Source organism: Homo sapiens, chromosome X (genome assembly GCF_000001405.40).
Source record: "Homo sapiens chromosome X, GRCh38.p14 Primary Assembly".
In the NCBI taxonomy this organism is placed as follows: Eukaryota; Metazoa; Chordata; class Mammalia; order Primates; family Hominidae; genus Homo; species Homo sapiens.
Window position 1 is genome coordinate 35,943,720 of NC_000023.11, and position 26,182 is coordinate 35,969,901.

At 34.2% G+C, this 26,182-nt stretch overlaps 1 protein-coding gene across 4 annotated transcripts in view; it reads left to right on the plus strand.

Annotated features, from left to right (window-relative positions):
- CFAP47 (cilia and flagella associated protein 47) overlaps positions 1 to 26,182 on the plus strand; it is a 465,584-nt gene that overhangs the window by 23,986 nt on the left and 415,416 nt on the right. For all 4 annotated transcript variants that reach the window (NM_001304548.2, XM_017029452.2, XM_017029453.2 and 1 more), the window contains exons 4-10: positions 4,595 to 4,733; positions 7,412 to 7,640; positions 8,084 to 8,244; positions 9,873 to 10,000; positions 12,242 to 12,477; positions 22,846 to 23,035; positions 23,900 to 24,113. In NM_001304548.2, the coding sequence (NP_001291477.1) occupies positions 4,595 to 4,733; positions 7,412 to 7,640; positions 8,084 to 8,244; positions 9,873 to 10,000; positions 12,242 to 12,477; positions 22,846 to 23,035; positions 23,900 to 24,113 (1,297 nt within the window). The remainder of the gene's footprint in view (positions 1 to 4,594; positions 4,734 to 7,411; positions 7,641 to 8,083; positions 8,245 to 9,872; positions 10,001 to 12,241; positions 12,478 to 22,845; positions 23,036 to 23,899; positions 24,114 to 26,182) is intronic.

Here is a 26,182-nt window from a genome sequence, read left to right on the forward strand (position 1 = left end):
TTATCACTGAAGATTAGAAAAAGAAATTATTAATTTAGCATGCCTTGAATTAAAATCATTTCTTCCTTAATGTGAGCATACTTATTTATTTATTATTTTTTAAAATTTTTGTGGGCACATGGTAGGTGTATATATTTATGGAGTACATGAGATGTTTTGATACGGGCATCCAATGTGAAATAAGTACATCATGGAGAATGTTGAGTAGACTTTTTCTACTACAGTATTATAACATAGAACAGTTTCTCAAATTCCTAAGTGAGAGCCTTACATATCATTTCTGAGTTTGAACATCTGCCTCAGAACTTATCATCCTTTAGGTTTATTTGGTCTACTTTGTCCAAAATATATGACCTTTCATTTGCTCTTAAGGCCCACTCTGCCTTTTCCCCTAATCAGCAGCATCATTTCTCTACTTCATTGTCTAAAATATCCTGGAATCAACTGTAAACCAGGAAATTTGTCAAACTGTACCAAACCCAGAAGTGGTCCTGGGGATCTTCCTTAGTAACTCACAAAAGCACCCCCTACTTATTCTCAGTGCATAATTCTTGTCTTCAATTTTTTTTTGGAAACTGATGCCATGGCATCTCCATATATTCTTCATGCATAACATAACCCTAATTTATAGGATTATATATTTTGACATAATCATAATTTATTTGGTTTAGTGATTTCTTGGAGTTTCACTAAAGAACTATGAAGCTTTTAATGAAAGATGATTAAACCCAGAAGGAACCTGTTAAATCCATATGAGCATTCTGAAGAATCTCTAAAAATTAGTCATTTGGAAACATGTGGAGCCTCATACATATTTAGTGTGCTTAGAACCAAGGGAATTTTAAAAAATCATAAGAAATAGCAATAGCCTGGGGTACATGACAACTGATTTTTAATAACATTCTATAGAACTACAGAATCTGGTTACCCTGGCTTGATCTTACAGATACTCTGAGGCAAAAATCTGCTTAGCAGTTCCTAAAAATTTTTTCAAGGAGTATAGACAGTGTAACCATGTATACTGCACCACTTAGTGTCTAATTTGCTTCTCTAGAGAAGATAGAAGAATCCAGATTCAAAAATCACACAGATTTGTGTGAGGGACCCCTCATCGCAGCTGTAGCTGTGGGTACCCTTATGTTTTATGTGCCCCCACTAACTCTTATCAGTGGGCAAGTCTATAGGTCTGTTTTACATGGCTTATTGGCAAAAGTTGACATAGTTAGCCACTGCCACTTTCTTGGGAAAACAAAACAAAAACAATTCAAAGCCCTTTGGCTTCTGTGACAACTCACTCTCTTATATAGAATGCTAATTAATAACTCAGGTCCTGAAGTGTGGTTGAATAGGGCCCAAATCTTAGTTGCATCATTTACTATCTGGGAGGCCCTGGGTAAGGAATTTGCACTTCCAAAACATCCATTGTCTGACTTACACATTAGAGATAAAGATAGTACCTTCCTCCTCTAATGGTGGTGATGATTAATAAAATGCTTAGCACACTCTCTGGCATATATAACTTTTCAGTAAATGTTAGCTATTTATGTTATAATTATTATTTTTCTACCACCTCTGCCCTCTTCAGTTCTCTTTCCTAGACTGGTGTTTCTTTTTGTGGTATATTAAATGTGAATGTTTCCTAAGGTTTGCCACAGACTCTTATGTTTCTTCAGTCAAGGTACTCTCCTTGGACCATCACTTCCCTTCCTTTTACTTCACTGACTACTCCTAGATCTATACAATCCTTTGGGTATCCTTCAGTTTTCTCAAACTTAACAGCTTCCCCCAATACTTCTTTTTTCTTTGTCAATTAATGTTACCACTATGTATTTGGAGAGTTCCAAAACTTGGCAAAATTTTCAACACCTCTCTCTTTTTCACTTCCTACCCCCTTAGTCAATTAGTAAATCTTATCTGTTCACTTCATAATTAAGCCAGTAATACTACTTTTCTCTGCCCAATGCCACTTTTTTTACAAAAAGCCATTATCTTCCCCTGCTGAATAACTACATTAACCTAAATTATTTTCCTGACGTTACTTCCTTTTAGTTTATTTCCCACACATTAGCCAGTGCCATATCTGAGAAGAAATGAAAATTTGATCACAAATATTCCATTTTTAACATTCTTTTTTCTTCTTCTTCTCCTTCTCTTTTTTTTTTTTTTTTTTTGAGACAGAGTCTCACTGTGTCACCCAGGCTGGAGTGCAGCGGCGTGCTCTTGGCTCACTGCAACCTCCGCCTCCCAGGCTCAACCGATTTTCCTGCTTCAGCCTCCCCAGTAGCTGGGATTACAGGTGTGCGCCACCATGCCCAGCTAATTTTTGTATTTTCAGTAGAGATGGGGTTTCACTATGTTGACCAGGCTGGTCTCGAACTCCTGACCTCAAGTGATCCTCCCACCTCCGTCTTCCAAATTGCTGGGATCGCAAGCATGAGCCACCGCACCTGGCCAACATTCTTTTTTTCAATAACTCTCTTCTCTTAGGATGATATTCTTGCTTCTGTTGTTAGCAATTTAAAAAGCCAAACAAATGGTTTTTGTATTAAAGTTAAATAAGACATAGTAATGTTGACATACCTGCAATTTAAACATATTTAGAAAATTAAACAATATTCTTTTGTATTTTGTGTTGCTTCTGAATAAGTTTTTGAAATATTCACTTAAACTCTTTTGTCAAATTATGTCTAAGTAGTTACAATATGGGAAACTTTTTCACTGACTCAGTCCTAACTAAATTTATATACCTTTTTTTCTTACAGAATGGAGTCAATAATACCTATTTATTTGAAATGGATATAATTTTATATATTTTTGATTTATGATATAAAATTAACTTCAAATATTATGCTGTTAGCACATCTATGAAATGATTGAAGTGACCAATTTTGTTACTTTGCATTTTCAAATATTGTCTTTTTAATATTTTCATTACTTTTATTGTGCTAACATTTTGTTTTCCTAAATTAAATGAATACATTTGGAAAATATCATCAGATGTGATTTAAGACTGGTGATTTCAGAATTTGCCAAACTGTTTATTTTAGCACCATGCTCATTTGTGTTATAATGATAATAAAGGGACTAGTGATTGGCTGCTTCTATTTGTTGGCCATACTTTAAGTACTGCTTAGTGCTAAGCAGTGTGTGGGGTGCTGTGACCACAGACATGAGAAAGAGATTGTATCTGATTTCAAGGACCACATGCTGTAATATAGGCACAAAACATTACCATAAATTATGAACCATTTCTGCTTTCAGAATAAGAATCTTTGTACCCTCCTTCTCATATGCCATTTGATTTCAGAAACCAATCCCCTTTGCCCTTATCCTGTGTGAACTGGATAAATTCATCTCCTAGGGAATGGTAATAACTATAAGTATGAACCTGTGGTCAGAAATATCCAAGTGAAAATCTCATCTTCATTAGTTAGTTACTAACTGTAGTAGTTATTGCTATATAACAAACCACCCTAAAATATCTTCAAACAGCAGTTATTTTTTAATTGGTCATGTGGTTATGTGTATGCAGATTGGCTGGAACTTGACTGATCTAGGCTGGGCTCATCTGGGTGCTCTGCTTCAAGCTGAAGCAGCTGGGCCTGTTCTGTTTCTCACTGCAGGTCTGTGGGTCAGCTGGGTGGCTCTGCTCCACATTTGCTCATTCTAGGGCATGGGCCAAAAGGACAGCAGTTACTCAGGAGAAACACTTCCCAAAGTCAAGGGGCTTGATCATGTGATTTGCTTTGGCTAATAACATGTGGGTGTAATTGATAGCATGCCAGTTCCAACCTAGATGCACTTCTACCATGGGAGGTGGGAAGTGTTTTATCCTGTGTAATTGCTGTCCTTTTGGCCCATGCCCTAGAATGAGCAAATGTGGAGCAGAGTCACCCAGCTGACCCACAGACCTGCAGTGAGAAACTCTGGAACAATAGGGTAAAGATACGAATGTGGAAAAAGGTGAAGAATTGTGGTCAGCAAGCTAATCTACCACAGTAGTTGTGTGACCTTGAACAAGTCATTCATCATTTCAAAACTTCTATTTTGTTACTTGTAAAATGGAGGTAATGATTGAAAATATTATATCATAGATTATTTACGGAAATTAAATAACCTATGCAGAGCTCTTAACATAAGTGTCTGAACGTAGTAAGCAGATAATTTTAACTATTGGTGAGACTTGAATTCTAACAACAGGATCATATTTGTTGGGTGACCTCAGATATTGGACTTACAATTAAAGCTTTAATTCTTGGTACACTGTAGACCATCTGCTCCAGGGGTATTCAATCTTTTGGCTTCCCTGAGCTACGTTGGAAGAAGAAGAATTGTTTTGGGCCACACATCAAATACACTAACACTAATGATAGTTGATGAGCTTAAAATGTCTCAAAAAATCTCATAATGTTGTAAGAAAGTTTATGAATTTGTGTTGGGCTGCATTCAAAGCCGTCCTGGGCTGCATGTGGCCCATGGGCCATGGGTTAGGCAAGCTTGGTCTACTGGGTAAAGTATGTTGGTCCCCTACTGAGAGTGTACATGCAACATTGTAAGGGTCCAGATGTAAATCAACTGCTCTTATTCCCTATAGGCATATTTAAGGCAGAATACCACGGCCAATTACCCATCCTCATTTTTCCAACTAGTGGTATCGTGGATGCTAAGTCATCAATGGTTATTAAAGTAGATTTCTGTGCAGACCAGCCAAGAATTGTAGATGAAGAGGCAATGTGAGTATATACTGTGGTTCTAAAAATTATAATACAGATCTCAATGCTTTCCCGTTTAACCCTGCAGATGTGACTTTGATTGTATGTTAGCTCCTTTGTTCTTCCATTCAGCGTTGTTCATTGAGTCTCTACTATTTGCCAAGCAGTAGGTTTTTAAGAAATGGGAAGAACTAGAGGATAGCATATGGGTACACATAACAGGATCTTCTATTTTGAATTTCATTGAGGTGAGAGAGTGGACCAGGGAAGGGCTCCACTAACAAGGTGATAGTTGAATCAAATACTTACTGGTGAGTAGTAATTAGCCAGGCAAAGAGCAGTGATGTGATTTGGGGTGTGTGTGTGTGCGTGTGTGTGTGTGTGTGTAGGGGTGGTGGGAGTTAGTGATGGGAGTAGCATAGAGGAGGGATTTCAGGCAGAGCAAGTAACATACTGGAAATCCTAGAGGCAAAAAGACAGTGTTGCACACCAAGGCATCTTTGGCAATGTAGAATTAAAAAGATGGAGGTGGGGAGTGACAGGAGACAAGACCAGAAAAACCAAATGGAATGTCTAGTTTGAAGGGCTTTGTAGTCCAACATTTTTGTGCGGTATGTCTTAATTCATTGCTAGAATGTGCAGTCAATATAATGAGCCATCACCAGTATTTTTAACAAACGACTTAAAAATATCAGAATGCATCTGTGGAGTGTGTGTGTGTGTGTGTGTGTGTGTGTGTGTGTTCCGGCACTGGAATATAAAATACTTTTTTTACTGAAGGTCACAGCCATAAATATGTGATAAACAGGTGTGAACCCTGATAGGAGCTTGGGTTTTATTGTGAAGGCTATGAAGTCTTAGGAGGGTTTTAGGATGAGAGTGTCATGATTAGTTTGTATTTTAGAAAGGTCCTCCTAGTGGCAGTGTGCAAAACAGACCAGGGAGTACAAATGTGGAGTGAGAATCTTGACTAGAAATTACAGTAAAGCAAGAGGAAAATGATAAAGGTCTGAGATAAGGTCAACTGAGAAGACTGATAGAAGTGTGCAAATTGGAGATAGGTTGTAGAAGTAGATTTGACTAGATTTGGTGACTGATTGTAGCAAAGGAAGATAAAAGGTGGAACAGGGTTATGGGAGAGGATCTTAAATTCAGTTTTGATATGTTGGAATGGTTTTACTTTTCAGATTCCTGGTGGAGCTGGCTGCAGCTTATTAAATTATCTTGAGTCCCAGAAAGAAATTTGATTTAGATGTACAAGTTGAATGTTCCTTACTCAAAATACTTGAGATCAGAAGTGTTTTAGATTTCAATTTTGTTTGGATTTTGGAATATTTGCATTATACTTACTAGTTTAGTAACCCTAATCTAAAAATCTGAAATCCGACATGCTCTAATAAGCATTGCCTTTGAGTTTTATATCAGCATTCAAAAAGTTTGGGATTTTGGAGCATTATGGATTTCATATTAGGAATACTCAGCCTGTATAGGGTTGAAGATCATCAGTGTATAAGTGGTAGAAGAAACAGAAGTGTTGAGAATAACTTTGAGAAGGAGAGTAGAATGAGAAACAGTAAGAGAAAAAACACTACTATTCATGTTAACTATTTATCAAGTTTAAAAAAGGTCCCAGTCTTAGAAGAGTGAGAAGGTGGGGCCTGAGTGAGTTAAAAGAAAACCTTGAAATTATGGTGTCAAGGAAGCTAAGGGAGGAGCAATTCAATGCCCAATGTTATAGGATATAGTGTAAGATAAGGGTTAGGTGATAGTTGTGGAGTAGTCAGTTATCTGTGGTATCTGATGGGCCTAAATTGAAAGATTGCATTTATGCCAGAGTGGAATAAAATGAAAGAGCAGTTCCCAAAGAGAATTGAAATTCATTTGAGAAGTGAAGTTAATGGGGAAATGTTTATTTCAGCAAAGAAGTGGGATTTTTGTTTCGTTTTGGTTTTGAGATGGGGTCTCTTCCTGTCACCTTGACTGGAATGCAGTGGTGCAATCACGGCTTACTGCAGCCATGACCTCCCATGCTCCAGCAATTCCCCTACCTCAGCCTCCAGAGTAGCTGGACCTTAAGGTGTGTGTCACCATCCCTGGCTATTTAAATTTTTGTTGTTGTTGTTGTAGAGATAGGGTCTCACTGTGTGGCCTAGGCTCGTCTTGAACTCCTGGACTCAAGCAATTCTCCCTCCTTGGCTGCCCACAGTGCTAGGATTACAGGTGTGAGATCACACCCAGGCAGCAGTGGGTTTTACTGAGGTACGTTAGATTGTAAGGAATTGAGGTGTAAGGATGGGGATGAGATAAGCTGTTGGACTTGGGAGATGAGAAGAATTAGAAAAGAATTTCAGAATTTGAGAGCTAGAGGTAACCATACAAATCATTTAAATAATTGGCAATATGAATATGCCATTGAGTTTTTTCTGGGTTCAATTCATGAGATTGTTTTACAACTTTACTGTTTCCTGAAGACAGTGAATTAGGCTGCACATATGCCATTCCATTTTGTAGATTCAGATATACAGAAGAACCTGATAACCTCTGGTATGTACGTGAAAGGAACTACTCTTAGGCTACTGAATTTTAATGATAATGTGATTCTATAAAGTTTCTGTTTGTCGAAATGTGTGGGAGAAAAACAAAGTATATAGAATTCTAATTAAAATATGTATGTATGTGCATATCTTATTATCCTGTAGAGTGATTTTGCAAGGTCAACCTGAGATGCTCTTGAGTATCAAAGCTCATGTGGTTGAGCAGATTATTGAATTATTAAGCATGAGTAGTGACAGAAGGCTGGAATGCATACACTTTGGTCCTGTTTTCTTCGGATCATCAAAAATTAAACATGCACGTGTATACAATAATAGCCCAGAGCCCATAAATTGGGTGGCCATCATACAAGATGATGCCGTGGGAGAAGAATTGGTAAGTAAGTGGTGCGACAGGGATATCAGATATTATGACTTAAAAGAGATTGTGTTAAATCTAATAATAACCAACAAGCTTTTTAATTATTCAAAATATCTTTTAACATGGGCAGATAGATTTGATTTTATGTGTATCCAATAGCAACCTCAAAAAATTCAGAAATTAAGCTAACATTTATAGTAATATATATCTGAAGTAAACCAGACAAGTGCTTCTTATAGATCAGTGGCTAATTGAAGGTATTTCTGTTCTCATCAATTTTTTAATCCTTTTTCAAATTGTATGATGTGCCTTGGTCAAATTTATGTGTAAATGTTACTTTAAAGATAGATATTTGCTATTTCCTAGATTCTGGAATTTCAATAATTATTTTGTAACCTCCTCAAAAATTTTTTTGTGTTTTGCCTTAATACTCTTTTATATCTGACTTTATATTACAGGGTACAGATATTCAACAAAGAACAGATATTGCTTTAAATAATCTCACCTACATAAGAAAAATAAAGAACATAGATACTACTATCATTATCTCCTGTCTTCCTAATGAAGGGACTTTACAACCTTATCAAAAGACTGTAATTACATTTTGTTTCACCCCAAAGTAAGCAAAAATTAATTTCATTGTAATGTTAAATATTAATGGAAAGTATATTAACCACACTTTAATCAGATTCACTTTAATACTATAATAGTAAAACTTGCCAGAAGGCACAAGTCAGATTTTTCTTGTCATGGTTCTAGATGTTTCTAACATGGTTAGTAATATTTCTAATAATTCTAAATATGGTTCTAAATACTTCATGTAAAGTTAAAAATATCCCTAGACCTTGTGGAAATGGGGTGGTGGAAGTGCAAGTTTTGAGTTGTTTTGGAGTGTGGCCCCAAATTGTTTGTGCAGTCAAGACCTTGTTGTCCCCACGAATAGTCAGGTGCATGCAGCATGTCGTAGGTCCCTCCAAAGAGGATGCAATACTTCTGGCAGGGCAGAATTATTGCTGACTATCCTAAGTATTAAACCTATAGCACCTTCCAGGGATCAGTCAAACTTGTTTGCTGAAATTCATACAGACTTTTAGCACTTAAGCCAGTGTACATTTTTCATAATTCCATGAACTTTGTTTTGTTATTAAATTTGAAGAGCATGCTGTTTTAAATATATAATAGCAATTTCAGTGACACCTTGATAAGTTGTAATATGTGTGAACTGATTCAATTGCAAGAATATTTTCCCTTGTTTGTGAGAGGGTAATGTTTAATGTACTTCTTGTTTGTGGAACAGGGTTGCCTGTTGAAGATTGAGCTTGCTTTAATTTAAAGAGGTTAATAAATCAAGTAATTGTTCTATATGTAAATCCACAATTGCCTTATTAATGATACCTTCATACAAGTAGTTTCTTTGGTGAATCTGTAAGATTCTGTTTAATACACAATCTTTGAAATTTGAAATATTCTATTCTTTTTTCATGGCAGCATGTTAACTTGAGAGTCTAGCATAGAATCATAGGTATATGTATGATTTGAAGTCTTAGTTAAATGTGTTCTGACCACACTATTTGTATTCATATTTAATATTACATGTCAGTATTTTGTAAATGTAGTTGAGTTTGCACTACTAGAGAGCTGACCTCTAGGTAAGGCAGGTAAAAATAGCCAATGAGCAGACCTATGACATAAACCATCTCTGCCTTTACTCCTATTTCCCTTCTTCCTAGCCTTCCTTTCCTTTTCTCCTCAAACAAAATTTAACTGTTAGCAATTCGTGTTCTCCAAATTACTTGTCCACAACAAGAGCATGGCTGGCAATATGCACTTAGTACATTGGGGAAGACAAATTTGTAACAAATGTTTTTTATTATGCCCAAGAGTAAGATGGACTATTGTAAAGAATTAATCAGAGTCCTTAGTTAGAGATGAATTTTGTCTGGAAGAAAATTCTTTGCAGAGAAAGTGGCATTTGAGCTAGACCTTGATGACTTGGTATATTTAAATTACTCTTGTCTTGACGATGTTGGCACGAACTCATTTTTCTCAGCTTTATACTCTGTAGCCTTCTTTTGGCAAATCTCTCTGGCTGTGCAGTAAATTTGGATAATGGATTACAGTTGTATTTTCATTCCTTAACATTCATTTGCTTGCATAGATTTAAAGATTGGATTGATATTTCCTCTTACAAGGTGATAAAGTATATCAACTTTGCTTTAAAAATAACTCATTGTGATTTTTTTACAGGCTAATGGCTGTTGGTAAAAAGGATATTGGACCTTCATACAGACAGGACTATGCTCTCTTTTTGAGATTTGAGTCCGTAGGAAGTAAAGATGGATTTTTGAGAGATGATGACTATAAAACCATCAAAAGTAAGTGTGAAATTAACAAAATTATCAAATCCGTAGCCATTTAAATTGTTTAAAAATTTGAACATGAATATCTGTAGAGACAATCTAATAAAATATATAATTATTGAATAGAAAAAAAAGCAAACATGTTCAAGAGACCTTAAAGTGTCATCTGTGGCATGTTAAGAAGTCAACTTCACAATCATTTACATAATAATTTTCCAGGTTGGAAGTTAGGTTATAATTTTAAATGATGTTAGATAAACATGATGATCTAGGGTTTAAGGAATAAGAAAAAAAAACCCGGATTTGTTTTCTATGTATGCCTAGGTTTTTTCTCAGGGATTGGTATGGGGACAAATGACCCTTTCCATCTCTACTAATCCTTCAGCTCTCTTAGAATCTACAAATAGGAACAGTAAAAAACAAGATCTAGAGATCTAGTTAGTAGGGTACAGGACAGTGTTATTGGATACTGATAATTGCACATGTTTTGCAGGCCACATGTCAATATGCCTTATATGTTTTATATTCTCAGGTTATATTAGGTTGGTTATAGTGAGGAAAAAAATGGAATGGGACTTGGAGTTCAGCTTAGCAAGACAGATCAAAGAGAAAATAGAGAATTAGGAAGGTTAGGAATCAAATCCAGGAAAATGAACTATACCAAGGAGGGATTAGATCACCATCCTGGATATTTATGCAAATCGAGTGTGTCAGTATAAGTGATATTGAGCAGGATTTAACTGTATTCCTTGGGCATAAATGGATTGTTCTGTTACTATTTATATTGTGTTTTGTGATATTGAGCTACGTCTGCTGATCCTAGACAGCAATGAGAATTCCACATTTGTACAAAGTTTACAGGTTAATCCAGTTTTGAATAGCCAGGGATGGAGTTACTAGGTTTGCCTTAAAGATAATTTAGTCTAAGATTGGCTACTAAGAGCATTAGTGAAAAAATGCAAACTCTTTTTCTTTGGTTCTAGTTACACTGCTCTCTCTCTGCAAAATTGTTCTTCTGTTATCATCTTTCTGGTTTCCCAAAAACTTCATGTTTATATTTTTGCCCAGCTTCTATTCCATTGTCCATTATTCTAATTATTCTTTTTCATGTGCACTTATATCTGTTGGTCTGTCTCCCACAATGACTGAGTGAAAAGCCTCTAATTCTATGAAATTCAGCTTTCAGCTTACATTGGGTCTGCACATGGGAATCTGATTGTGTTGGAGAAAAACATACAACCTTGTTGAGAGGTTTCACTTTGTATCTGTAATCACTAATCCCAAGTGAGTTCTTTAAGCTGTTTGGCATTCCCTATTGCATTCACCCATTCATTCACTCTTACACAATCTGAGATGAATATCACACACCTTTTATTCTCTCCTCAAGTCTCCACTCTTTCCTCCTTCGTCTTCACTTGTAAGCTTGAACACAGAGTGGTCTAGTAGACATTTCCATAAGAATATCTACTAGTTATCTCAACTTAACATGTCCCAAACAGAACTCCTGATTTTTCCACAACCGGCTCCTCCTTCAGTCTCTTGTTTCAAGAAATGGCAATTCCATCATTTTGGTTGCTAAGGCAAAAAACTTAGAGTCATCCTTTATCACTTCTTCATTTCCCTATTCTGTGTCCAATATATCAGCAAATCTTCTTAAGCCTACCCTCAAAAATATATCTAAAAATCTGACAATTTTTCTCCATTTTTCTACTCTTCTCCTCCAGCCATTTGTTCTTTAAAGGCGTTTGAACATGACAGACAAGTTCCTGCCCTAGCGTATTTGTGCTTGCTGTTCTCTCTGCCTGGAATAAACTTTTCCTAGATTTTCACATTTTTTTCCAGACTCCCTTTATATCTTGGCTCAAGTATCTCCCTATCAGAGAAGCCTTTTTGGACATCTCTACATAAAACAGAATCCCCAAGACCTTGTACTCTGTCTCAACCTGTCTTACCTTTACCCATAATACTTATTTTCTATGAAATGCTGTGTAAACATATAACATTATTTGGTTGATTATTGTCAATGTCACCTCACTAGAATGTAAAGTCCGTAAGAGCAGGAATGTTGTCTCTTTTATTCACTGCTGTATCCGCAAGGCGTGACACAGAGAAGACACTCAATAATTGTGTTGAATGAAAAGATTGAATGAGCTACCCAATTTGCATTAGGTATTTCAGACAACAAATAGACTAAGCAAATATATTCTGGATTCCCCAAACACTTTTTATGTTCAACAGCTATTATTGCTTTTACAGGTGAACGATTTCAGAAAGTGGAATTAGCACTGACAGGCACAGGACTTCCTGTTTTACTACAGTTTGATCCAGGACCAGTTCTTAATTTTAAACCTTGTTTCATGGGTGAACGTTCAGAAATTCAGTGCATCATAAAAAATCAATGCGAATTACTTCCTGTGACGTACCACTTTAAAAAAACTGCAAATTTTGAAATTGATCCTGAAAAGGGCAAGATTACTGGAGGGGGTATGGTGGTAAGATAATTTTTCTTTGCGTTTACATGGCAGCTAACATTTTAAGGTGTGCTAAAATGCTATGCGGAGGATTAGAAACAACATGTGTTCTACCAGTGTTTATAAATTGTTTCTCTTCTGCAGCCTAGTTATGAAGATTTTTGTATTGGTACTCATATAGAATCCATAATGATTTGTTAAGTGCCTGTCATGTGCCAGTGAAAGCATTTGGCACTAGGGAATTTAAAGAAATGCAAAACATAGTTACTTCCTCTAAAATATTAGACATATACACAGGTAGGTATGGCTTAAGGAGAATATAAAACATGTTAAAGTTGTAACAAGGTGATATAGAAACTCAAATAACAGAATGTTTACTTCTAACCAGATAGAAAGGTCTCCATAGGAGAGTAATGTATGAGCCAGACATTGAAGCTTGAGTAGAATTTTGAAGTTTGAAACTGGTGATATTTACCAGGCCTAGAACTTGTACTGCTGGTACAAAGCAGAAAAAGAGAATGCCAAGGCATACCTGTGAGCACTAGGTCAGCTTCTGGTTGTCAGGAGCTGTTTTTCTCTTAATTGCTGCACAGGTAACTCTTTCCCATATCCTCTAAACCATGGGTTAAAAGACGATGGTCCACAGGTCAAATATGGCCTGATGCCTGTTTTGGTAATTAGTGTTTTTGGAATATAGCCACTCTTATTTGTTCACCTATTGTCTAAGGCTACTTTCATACAAAAAGACAGAGTTGGCTGGGCGTGGTGGCTCACACCTGTAATCCCAGTACTTTGGGAGGCCGAGGCAGGTGGATCACAAGTCAAGAGATCAAGACCATCCTGGCCGACATGGTGAAACCCCGTCTCTACTAAAAATATGAAAATTAGCCGGGCGTGGTGGCACATGCCTCTAGTCCCAGCTACTCAGGAGGCTGAGGCAGGAGAATCGCTTGAACCCAGGAGGCAGAGGTTGCAGTGAGCCGAGATCACAGCACTGCACTCCAGCCTGGTGACAGAGTGAGACTCCATCTCAAAAAAAAAAAAAAAAAAAAAGACTTAAGTGGTTGTGAGAAAACCTATGCCTCATGGAGCCTAAAGTGTTCACTGTCTGGCAATTTACAGAAAGGGTTTGCTGAACCCTGCCTTAAATATAGCAAACATGAGTGCTTTCAGTTTCTCCTCAGTTTCTTATGTTATCATATTTCTTCCACTGCAGTGATGCAGTTCATAAAGTTATTGAAGGAAGCTTTCTTCCAATTGCAATTAAGAACTATTGTATACATGTTTATATACATGCAGCTCCTATTTATATCTTACTGCTTCATTAGTATGACTCTCTCCCTCCAAATTTGGATAGATGTTATCAGTTTTCAAAGAATAGCAACAAATGTTAGCCACTTTATACTAAATGTTTTCTTTTTAACTGCTTTCTAGATTTCCTGTAGTCCAAGTCTCTTAAACCTACCGACTCAATTATTTTTCTCCAGTAACATATGCATCTTTCAAAACATATCTAATAGCTAACTCCCCAATATTATTTTTAACCCTCTACATTTATGAATTTTTCCAACACTAATAATTTTCAAATTAGTAAAAATGCGAATGTAAGAAGTATAGTAGACACTGGAGAATTGTGGCCTGCACAGACTGGTCAAATGGCCTTTGACTATTTAGAAGTGTGATAAGATTATTCTTTTTAAATAATAACTTTATTGATATGTAATTCACATACCATAAAATTCACACATTGAAGTATACAATTCAGTGATATTAATATGTTCAGAGATTGCACACATCAGCACTAATTCCACAACGTTCTCTTCACCCCAAAAAGAAACTCCATGTCCATTAACAGTCATTCCCCTTCTCCTCATTCATCAGCCTCTGGCAAGTATTAATCTATTCTCTCTGTCAGTAGGTTTTCCAGTTTGGGTCATTTTCTATAAATATTATATTTATATAAGGCATTTTGTGTATGGCTTCTTTCATTTAGCGTAATATTTTCAAGGTTCATGCACATTGTAATATGTATTAGTGCTTCATTTTTATAGCCAAATTATATTTTTTGTATGGATATACCACCTTTTGTTTATCCGGTCATCAATTGAGGGACATTTGGGTTGTTTCCACCTTTTGGCTGTAATGAATGATGCTGCTATAAACATTCATGTACAACTTTTTGTGTGGACAGATTTTTAATACTGTTGAAATACACCTAAGAGTGGAATTGTTGGGGTCATATGAAAACTCTATGTTTAACTTTTTAAGAAACTGTCATACTATTTTCCAAAGTGACTATACCATTTTATATTCCTACCAGCAATAAATGAACATTCCAATTTACCCATACCCTCCACCACACTTGTTAATGTACTTCTTTTTTTATTATAGCCATCCCAATGGGTACAAAGTGGCATGTCCTTATGGTTTTCATTTAAATATCCCCAGTAACTAATGATGATGAATATCTTTTCATGTACTTATTGTCCATTTGTATATTTTCTTTGGAGAAATATTTATGCATATCTATGATAGGCAGAATAATGGCCCCCTAAAATATCTCTATCCTAATCTCTAGAAATTATGAACATGTGATGTTCTATGGCAAAGCAGAATTCAGGTTTCACTTGAAATTAAGACTGTTAATCAACCCACCTTAAAATAGGAAAATTAGCCTGGATTTTCCAGGTGAACCCTATATACTCTCAGGTTCCTTAAAAGTGGAAATGGAGGACAGAAAATGTGTCAGTGTCAAAGTAATGGAAGACTTTACTGTCCATTGATTTCTGGCTCTGAAGGTGGAAGGGGGTGGGGTGCATAAGTTGAGGAATGGGATGGCTTCTGGAATCTGGAAAAGGCAAGAAAGCAGATTCTCTGCTAGAGTTTCCAGAAATAAGCAGTCCTGCTGACACCTTGATTTTCATCCTGTGTTAGGCTTCTGACAAGTGTAAGATAAGAAATTGAGTTATTTTTGTCAACAAGATTTTTGGTAATTTTTTATTGCCAAAATAGAAAACTAATAGAATACATTTTACTATTTTTTTAATTGGGCTGTCTTTTTTTTATGGAATTGCAAGAGTTCTTTATATATTCTCAATACAAGTCCTTTGACAGATACAGAAATCACAAATATTGTATTCCATCCTGTGGATTGTCTTCCCACTTTCTTGATAGTTACCTTTGAAGGATAAAAGTAATACTTTTGACTAAGTTCAATTTATCTATTTTTTTCTTTTGTCTCTTGTGCATTTAGTATCATATCTAAGTAGTCATATACTGTCTGAGGTCATTAAGTTTTGTTTCCATGTTTTTCTCTAAGAATTTTAGCTCAAACTGTTAAATCTATTTGTTGGTCGGGCGCGGTGGCTCACGCCTGTAATCCCAGCACTTTGGGAGGCCGAGGCGGCTGGATCATGAGGTCAGGAGTTCGAGACCAGCCTGACCAATGTGGTGAAACCCTGTCTCTACTAAAAATACAAATATTAGCTGGGTGTGGTGTCACGTGCCTGTAATCCCAGCTACTCAGGAGGCTAAGGCAGGAGAATCACTTGAACCCAGGAGGCGGAGGTTGCGCACGCTTGTAATCCCAGCTACTCAGGAGGCTAAGGCAGGAGAATCACTTGAACCCAGGAGGCGGAGGTTGCAGTGAGCCAAGATCGTGCCACTGCACTCCAGCCTGGGTGACAGAGTGAGACTCCGTCTCAAAAAAAAAAAAAAAAAAAAAAACTATTTGTTATTTTTTGTAAATGGCATGATTTAGAGGTTGAAATGTATTCTTTTTCATAGAGATGTCAGGTTATCACAGAATATTGTCACATATATAAAAAAACCAATTGAATGTGAATATAAGGATTTCTAGACTAAAAATTCTATTTTGCATATCTGTATTTATCCTATGTCAGTACTACAATATATTAATTACTGTAGCTTTTTTTTTCTTTTTTTCGAGACAAGATACTTCACCATGTTGGCCAGGCTGGTCTCGAGCTGCTGATCTCAAGTGATCTGCCCGCCTCAGCCTCCCAAAGTGCTGGGATTACAGGTGTGAGCCACTGCGCCCGGCCTGTAATTACTGCAGCTTTATGGTATTTTTTGAATTTGGGAAATATGAGCCTTCTAATTTTTTTCTTTTTAAAGAAAATTTTTGCCTAATGTGGGATGCTTGCAAATACATATGAACTTTAACATTAGCTTGCTAATTTCTGAAAAAAAAAAAAAAAAAAAAAAAAAAAGGACAGCTGGAATTTTGAAAAGAATTGTGTTGAATTTGTAAGTCTATTTAGGGAATATTGCCATTTTAACAATATTAAATCCTGTGATCCAGAAGATTGTATGCCTTTACACTTATTTATGTCTTCTTTAATACCTTTTAATAATATTTGTAGTATTCAATGTACAAGTCTTGCAATTATTTTAAAAATTTATTTCTAAATATTTTATCCTTATTTGATGCTATGTAAATGAAATAGAATTCTTAGTTTTATTTCTGGATTATTCATTGCTAGTGCATATAAGTGCATTTGTTTTCTGCATATTGACCTTGTATTCTGCAAATTTGCTGAACTCATTTATTAGTTCTGGTAGTTTTTTGGTGGATTCTTTGGGATACAAGAACATGTCACCTGTGAATGGAGGTCACTTTACATCTTTCTTTCTAATCTGGATTCATTTTATTAACTTATTTTCTTACCTACTTGTCCTAGCTAGAACCTCTAGTACAATATTAAATAGCAATGGCAAAAGGGGTATCTTGTCTTGCTCCTGATCTGAGGGGAAAGCATTTAGTCTCTTATCAAGTTTCATGTTAGCTGTAAGTTTTTCATTGACTGCCTTTATAAACTTGAGGGAGTTCCCTTCTATTCCTAGTTTGTTGCATGTTTCTATTATGGAAGTGTATTTTGTCAACCACTATTTCTGTGTCTATTAAAATGATAATGTGATTTTGTCCTTTATTCTATTAAGAGTGTGCATTACATTGACATATGGATATTAAACTTGAAATCATACTTGTACATAGTATATAATCTTTTCTACGTTTTGCTGGCTTCAGTTTGATCGTATTTAGTTGAGGATTTTTGCATATATATTCATAAGGGACATAAGAATGCAGATTTTTAAAAAATGTTTTTGATTTTGGCATCAGAATAAAACCGGTGCCACAGAATGAATTGAGAATACACTCTTCTTTTAAATTTTTTGTAAATGCTTGTGAAGGATTGGCACTAATTCTTCTTTAAACGGTTGGTAGAATTTACCACCAAAGCCATTTTGTCCTGGGATTTTGTCAGAAAGTTTTTGGCTATTAATTCAATCCCTTTATTTGTTGTGGGGCTATTCATATTATTCATTTTTTCTTGGGTCAGTTTCAGTAGTTTATGTCTTTCTCTTTATAAGAATTTGCCCATGTCATTTAGGTTATCTGGTTTGTTGGTATTCAGTTGTTGATCACATAATCTTATACCCCTTTTTACTGGTGTAAAGTTGGTAGTGATGTCCTCTCTTTTATTCCTGATTTTAGCAAAGTTAGTCATCTCTTTTTTTGCTTATTAAGTCTAGTTAAAATTTTTTCAGTGTTGTTAATCATTTCAAAGATATAGTTTCAGGACTGTTGATTTTTTCCTAACATTTTCTATTATCTTTATTATTTATTACTACTTTTGTGTTTATTATTCCTTTCCTTATACTCACTTTGAACTTACTTTGTTCTGTTTTCAAATTTCCTAAGGTGGATGGTTAGAATATTGATTAAAGTCTTTTTTAAAAAATACTTTTGTTTATAACCATAAATTTCTGTCTTGTCACTGCTTTTTCTGCATTTCATATGTTTTGGTATGTTGTGTTTTAGTTTTTCTTCATCCCAAAATAATGTTGAATTCCCCTTGTGGTTTTATTCTTTAATCTATTGGTTATTTAGACATGTATTGCTTAATTTCCAAAATGCATGAATTTTTCACATTTTCTTCTCTTATTGATTTTAATTCATTGCATTTTGGTTGGAAAACATACTGCACAGATTTCAATCCTTTTAAATTATTGAGGCTTATTTCACAGACTAACATAGTCTATATTTGAAATGTTTCATTCAAAGTGCGAATGTGTACTTTGGAAAAATGTGCATTCTACTGTAGTTGGGTAAAATGTTCTACAGGTATATTTTGGGTCTAATTGGCTTATGATGTTTTTCAGTTCTCTGTTCTTTGTTGATCACATGCTTAGTTTTTCTAATCATTATTGGAAGTGGGATATCAAAGTCTCCCACTATTGTAGTTGAATTGCCTATTTCTTCCCTCACTTTTGTCAGTTTTTTGATGCTATTAGGTGCATATATGGTTATAATATGCATTCCTGATGTCTTGACCCTTTTATCATTATAAAATGCTCTTTTTTCAATGTAGAACTTTTTCTATCAATATCTATTTTGTCTTATATTAGTATGGGCACCCTGCTCTCTTTTGGATATTGTTTGCATATGACATATTATTTTGCCATCCTTTCACTGTCAACCTATTTGTATCTTTGTATACAATGTGTACCTCTTGTGGGAAATATGTAGATTATGTGTTTTTGCCTACTCCACCAATCTCTGCTTTTTGACTGCACAATTTAATCCATTTATGTGTATCCATTTATCTATTGATGAACACTTAGGTTGATTGCATATTTTGGCTATAGAATGATGCTGCAATTAACATGAGAGTGAAGATATCTCTTCAACATGCTGATTTCATTCCCCTTGGATAAATAAAATGTGGTGTGTGTGTGTGTGTGTGTGTGTGTGTGTGTGTGTGTGTGTGTGTATGTGTATGAATACTATACAGCCTTAAAAAAATAAGGAAATCTTGTCATTTGCGAAACATGGATGAACTTGGAGGATGTTATGCTAAGTGAAATAAGACATACTCAGAAAGACAAATACTGCATGGCTACACTTATATGTGGAATCAAAGTTGAACTCATAGAAGCAGATAGTAGAATTGTGGTTGCCAGGGGCAGTGGATGGCGAATAAGGAGATGTCAATCACAGAATACAAAATTTCAGTTAGACAGAATGAATAAGTTCTGAGAGTCTATTGTACAGAATGGTGGCTATGGTTAATAAAAGGGTATAAATATTTTCAACACAAAACAGTAAGGATATATTATTTAGCTTTATTTAATTGTTTCAAAATTACATCAAAATTACATATTAAATACTATATATTTACTATATATTTGTATACAAACAATTTCTATTTATTAGTTGTACCTTAATAGAGCTGGGGGAAAGAAATGTAAAGAAAATCCATTTACTTTTTTCAAAAATTTTAATTTTAATTTCAAATTCTGGGGTACATGTGCAGGATGTGCAGGTTTATTACATAGGTAAATGTGTGCCAATCCATTTATATGTAATGTAACTACTAGTAACATAGGATTTGCATTTGCTATTTTTCTATTTGTTTTCTATAATTACATATCCTCCTAATTTTCTATTATTTCATTATTGCTTTATTTTGTACTAAATAGATATTTTGTAATATACCATTTTAATTTTGTCATTATTTATTTTACGAAACTTTAAAAACATTTAATTTTCTTAGTGACTGCCCTTTGGGTTACGTTTAACATCTTTAACATAAAACAGTCTCATTCACATTAATGTCAACTTAATTTGTATAGTATACAAAAACTTTTGCTCCAATAGAATTATGGTTCTTGTCTCCTCTTTGTGCTATTCTTGTCATACAAATAATATGTGTTTATTCTTTAAAAGCTCATCCATACTCTAATACTTATTTCTGTATGCATTGCTTTTTAAATCAGATAGGAGCAGGAAAGCATTGCAAACAAAAGTACGTTTATGCTGTTATATTTATCTATGTAGGTAGTTACATTTGCCTGTGCTCTTAATTTCCTTGTCTGAATTTGAGTTACTATCAAGTGTCCTTTTACTTCATTGTGAAGAATTCCCTTTATATTTTTGTGATGAAAATGTACTAATGATACATTCTCTTCATTTATATTTATCTGGAAATGTCTTAATTTATACTTCAGTTTTGAATGATAGTTTTGCTAGTTATAGAATTTTGCATGTACAGTCTTTTTCCTTCAATATTGGAACACACCTCTCCACTGCCTTTTTGCCTTCAGTGTTTCCAATGAGAAGTTAGCTGTTCATTTCTAAAGAATCCTTCTCATGTGATGATTATCTTTCTTCTTGTAGTTTTTCAAGATTCTCTGTCATTGGTTTCTGATAGTTTGACTTTGTTGTGTTTAGGTGTGGATCTATTTGATTTACCCTGCTTGGGTTTTGTTGAGTTTCTTTGATATGTAGATTGTCTTTAATCAAGTTTTTGAACTTTTCATCTATTATTTCTTCAAATATTTTTTCTGACCTTTTCTTTCTCTCTTCTCCTTTTTAGACTCCCATCATACATATGTGACTATGCTTGATGATGTCCCCAAAGTCTCTGAGACTCTGTTCTTTATTCTTCATCCTTATGTATCTCTCTTCAATGTGAATAATTTCAAATGTCTTGTCTTCAATTTCATTGGTTAGTTTTTCTGCCAGTTCAAATCTGCTATTGAGTCCCTTAAGTAAATTTAAAATTTTAGTTACGTTACTCTTCAATTCCAGAACATTTATTTGTTCTTTTTTATAATTTCCACACTTTATTGAAATTGTGTATTTTGTGAGACATTGTTCACATACTTCCTTTAATTCTTTTGACCTGTTTCCCTTCAGTTCTTTGAAAATATTTACAATAGTTAACTTACTATGTTTGTCTAATAAGTTCACCATTTGGATTTCCATAGGGACATTATCTATGAACTACAGCTTTCCTAGGTATTGGCCATACTTTCCTGATTATTTGGGTGTCTCGTATTTTTTTCATGTTGAAAACTGGGCATTGTACATAATATAACTTGGCAACTATGGAAATCATTGCATTATTTATTGTTGCTTTTTTGTTGTTGTTTTGTTTATTTAGTGATTCTCTAGACTAATTCTGTGAAAGCTTTTTGTTTATTGTGTGCAGCCAATAAAGTCTCTACTCAGTTAATTTAGTGTTCAGCTAATGATTGGATAGAGGTTCCCTTAAATTCCTTGAATCAATAAGTCTCACAGCCTATATCAAGAGCCTCTGTATAAGTAAGTATGTTGGGGCATGTCTTCAATATTCTGTCAAGTAGTTTACAACTCTTTCTAGACTTTAATTCTTCCTTGTAAAGAGCCTCAAATTCAGCCATAGATGAGACATGAGAACTTAATTAAATCTTTTCTGGGAATATACACAGTCCTGCAGATGTGTGTCACAATCTAGGTTCCCAGGAATATTTCAGAGCTTTTCAAATACCATCTGAATATCTTGTTCTCAAGTGATTTTTAAACTTTTCTATTTGTGCATTTATTATGAATAACCTTCTTTTAGCCTTAAATGGTAATGCCACCTCAAGTTACTGAGAAGTTAAAAAAGTGCTGCATATATGCATACACAGAGTAATATATACCTATATATTTGACAGAACCCTGGAGAGAGAATTGTGCACACAGAGTGAGCTCTGAATCATGTGAGACAAAACAAATATGTACATCTCTCTGGTAGTGAGGCGTTTGGAGTGTTCCAAACTCATTCTTTTCCCTCTTTTGGCTACTAGGCTAATGGTTTTCACACACAGTTGCAAGGCTGTTGTTTTTCAAGGAGACCACAAAGCTGAATTTTAAAGAATGGGATTACATCAAGTAAAAATGGCACAGTCTTCTATTCCTTCAGAGATTCAACCTTTTTTCTTTAAGTAAATACTCCTTGGATTTTTGTGAGCCTTTAGGTAATCTTCAAATATCTGAAAGGACTACATTTTGACAATTTTTATTGCCAGTGTTCTCTTTCCTCTTCTGGAGAAGTAGGTTTTTGGAAGTCCTTAATCCACCATTCTGAATTTGCTTTGGTACTATGTTTAATTTTTCTTAAAATTATTTAAGAAAAATAATTTTTTAAATAATTTTTTAAATAATTTCATTACTTAAAGTTACTAATATTTAAGAAATATTAGCTGCTAATATTTAAGAAATATTAGCTGCTAATATTTAAGAAATATTAGCTGCTAATATTTAAGAAATATTAGCTGCTAATATTTAAGAAATATTAGCTGCTAATATTTAAGAAATATTAGCTGCTAATATTTAAGAAAAATAAAAAATTTTAATAATTTTTATTAAAAAATTATTTAAGAAAAGTAATGAATATTTTAAAAGTTTGTCAGTGCTGTATATTTCTGAAGTACTTTCATATTACCATTATGAGCTAGCTTTCCTTGAAATTTTATTAACTGGTTTTTTTTTTAGATTTGCTGTTAACTTTTTTTCTACCAATTTATTATTGGTTACTTTTCATCTTTTTTTTTTAGGATGTGATGTGTTCATTTGTTCCACATCAACTTGGAGTCTTCAAAGTGAAGCAGATGATAGAGATTATTGGTTTAGTGGCAGAAGAAGATTTGCAATCTTTGTCGGTAAAATCTTTCCATCACGTATATTTAGCTTTCAACAGCATCTGTAAAGCTTCCACCAAGAAAGTTGTGATGAAATTTGATCCTGGTATGCTATTGTGTAGTGCCCACCTGGCTTTGTTGTTACTGTTGTTAATTTAAGATTATTTTAATATACTAATTGCTTAATTACACACGCACATATATGTGAAAGAAGTGCTTTTAGCATTTCCCAACGACCGAGCTGCAACTATCAGGTCTAAAGACATATATATATGTATATATATAAAATAATGTGGTCTGACCCAGGAGTTCTCATCTTTTAACATGCATCAAAATCACCTAAAAGGCCTGTTAAAACACATGTCATTGGCTTACATCCCAGCAATGATTATTAAGCTTGTCTGTGTTACGGCCCAAAGACACATTTTTACAATGTTCCCAGTAGATGCTGACACTGCCATTACTGCCATTCTGAGGATTGCGCTTTGAGTAGCACTGGTTTATTGATGTATACAGTTTATTTAATATTTTCCTGGTTTTTATATTTTATTCTTCTTAGTTTTGTTGTTGAGGGAGTTTATAATATAAACTTTTTGACTATTCTATGGATTTACTTGTTGCTACTGTTTTATCTAATTCCTCATTATCTTTTATATGTTGAACCATATGAAGTTGCTGATATTCAACTGTTTTGGACCAACAAAAAATTTAGTTTCATATGGGTAAACCTAAATCCTTCAAGTTATCATATTTTATATTTTTATATATGCATTTTTATTATTCATATTTTATTATTTTGCTAAAATTGTGTAGGTCTTTTTTATTAATGATTTGTATTTTCCAAATGTGTTTAGGAGTTGAGCATTTAAGTTAGAATCAATTGTCTAGTGTATTAATTAATTCATGGTTATTGTTTTTAAAGTTGAAATTAAAAATACCATCTATAAACTTATATTCAATTCTATAAAAGGTATATTGCCTTCGATCCGTAATCCCACGGGAAAGTTTGTGGTCAAAGACTTGGCAAAACGCAAGAATTATGCACCTGTAGCAATGCTTCAATCAGCCATGACACGCACTCACAATCATCGCTCATGTGAAGAGCCAGTGAAGGATATGCTATTAGCCTTTCCCAATGACCGAGCTGCAACTATCAGGTCTAAAGACCATCATAAACATTTCAGGTAACATGAAATATTAAAACCCTGAAATTTGGAAAAGCTTAATGGACAACACGACATGCAGAAGTTTCATCAGATCCTGCTGTATAACACTAATGATTACAATAATAATAATAATAATAATAATAATAAAACTGCAATTATCTTTTCATTTTTTTTACATGGAGTGACATGGTTGTTGAATGCCACTGTGTTTGTTTTCGGTTAGAACCTCTTTTCACCTCAATATGTACTTGCCTGGAAGTGAATGGTATATAAAATGTTCTTCAAATATGCTATTGACAAGTATAGAAGAATAATACAAATAATCATCTTTGGAAATGTAACAGGTCCTCAGAGTAGTAATGTTTATTAAGTATGGTTGAAAGCTTGAGTTTATTTAAGCTAAAAAATAAAATTGTGTAAAACAATCATGGTTATCATCATCATCATCATCCTCCTCATCATCATCATCTTTGTTTGACCCCCTTCAAAGGCACATTTTTAATAATCTTCCACAAAGTGAACTTAAACCTCCCCAATTAGGATGATAAAAAGTGTTCAACCTCAGTTTATATTTATCCAAATCTCAAATAAATTACTAATTTTCCAATGGTTAGTGAGAAGTGAACCAGGCATCCCGACATGCTTATCTGGGCCCTGTGCCCAGGAATAGTTTTTACACATTTGAGACCGGAATAAGTTTTTTTATTTTTTTCTGCCTGCTTGTATGCTACTAGTAAAGTATCTAAACTTTATAATGGCTTTGGGCTTTCTGCACTTGTCTTTTTAGCTTTGGTTAGTCATTAAGCTCACTTAATTCTGCAGACATTTTCTTGCAATACCATTTGATTTTTAGGACATAATTGTTTTATTGTCTATGATAGGAAAAGTCCAGGTTTTTCTATAGTCTATCTTATTATTTTACAAATTCCATCCAAATTAGCCTTTTTAAAAATTATTACTTGACAAGTACCATAAAACACAGAAACATAAAAACCACTCAGACTCCATTTTAAATAATTGCCATATTATAGAAAAGAAAATTCTGTTTTTTCCTCTGGCTCATTCTGTTCACTCCCACCCTGCAGAGGTGGCTTCTAGCAATAATTTTTTATGTACTTTTTTCAACTCTTTCTTAAGGTTATACACATCTATATAGAGATATATCTATGTATCTACATATGTATATATGTATATATCTATATATGTATATAGAGATATAATGTGTTAATTTAATATTAATATTTTGTTTCTGTCTCTCTGTATTAATCAAATGATCTAAAAATAGCAGAATTTTAAAAATAAGGCCAAGTATTTACTATTTATCCCCTGACCATAATTATTTTTCTCAATGAACACTTTTTCATATTAATAGTTAAGGCAGTATTTAGTCCTTATGTTTTCTGGCCAGCAATTAGTAACTTTAAGTAATGAAATAAGTTTTATAGTGTATTTACTTGTTGATAATTGTAATTTCTATTTCATTTTAATGCATTTTACCTTTTCAGTTTTTGAGAATAAAATAAGGGAGGGATTTTTGTCTAGTTTTTATTTGCTGCAGTATGCCTTGTGCTTAGAACAGTGTCAGGCATAGAGTAGGCACTTGGTAAATATTTTTTGAATAAATAAATGAGGAAAAATATTTTATTTCCATAGTAATTTTTGTCCCCTGTTCTTTGCATATTTTAAAAAACTTATCCTCCTTAAGCTGCAGAGATTACATTTCTAGATGTTTTTCTAAGGAGCTGATAAGGATTTAGATATGTTAATAGTCAGCTCTTTCTCATTTAAGGCATTTACACCACTACTTCTTTCCTTATCCTTCTCTCCTTGTTAGAGGTATCAGGACTTCAAATATATGTAGGAATTATTTCTAGGTTCTAAAGGTGGTTAAGTGTCTCAGATCTTGAAGGAAAATTTAAATATCAAAAATCGTCTTTGAGCAACAAAGCATTTGTTTCCTGTCTTGTTTTTTCACTCTCTTAAAGAAATTAACACAGTTAAAGCTGTATTACTGTAAACATTGAGGAATTGTTGAAGACAAGAAGAAAAATTAATTTTCATTTGACTTTGTGACTAATACCTTCATA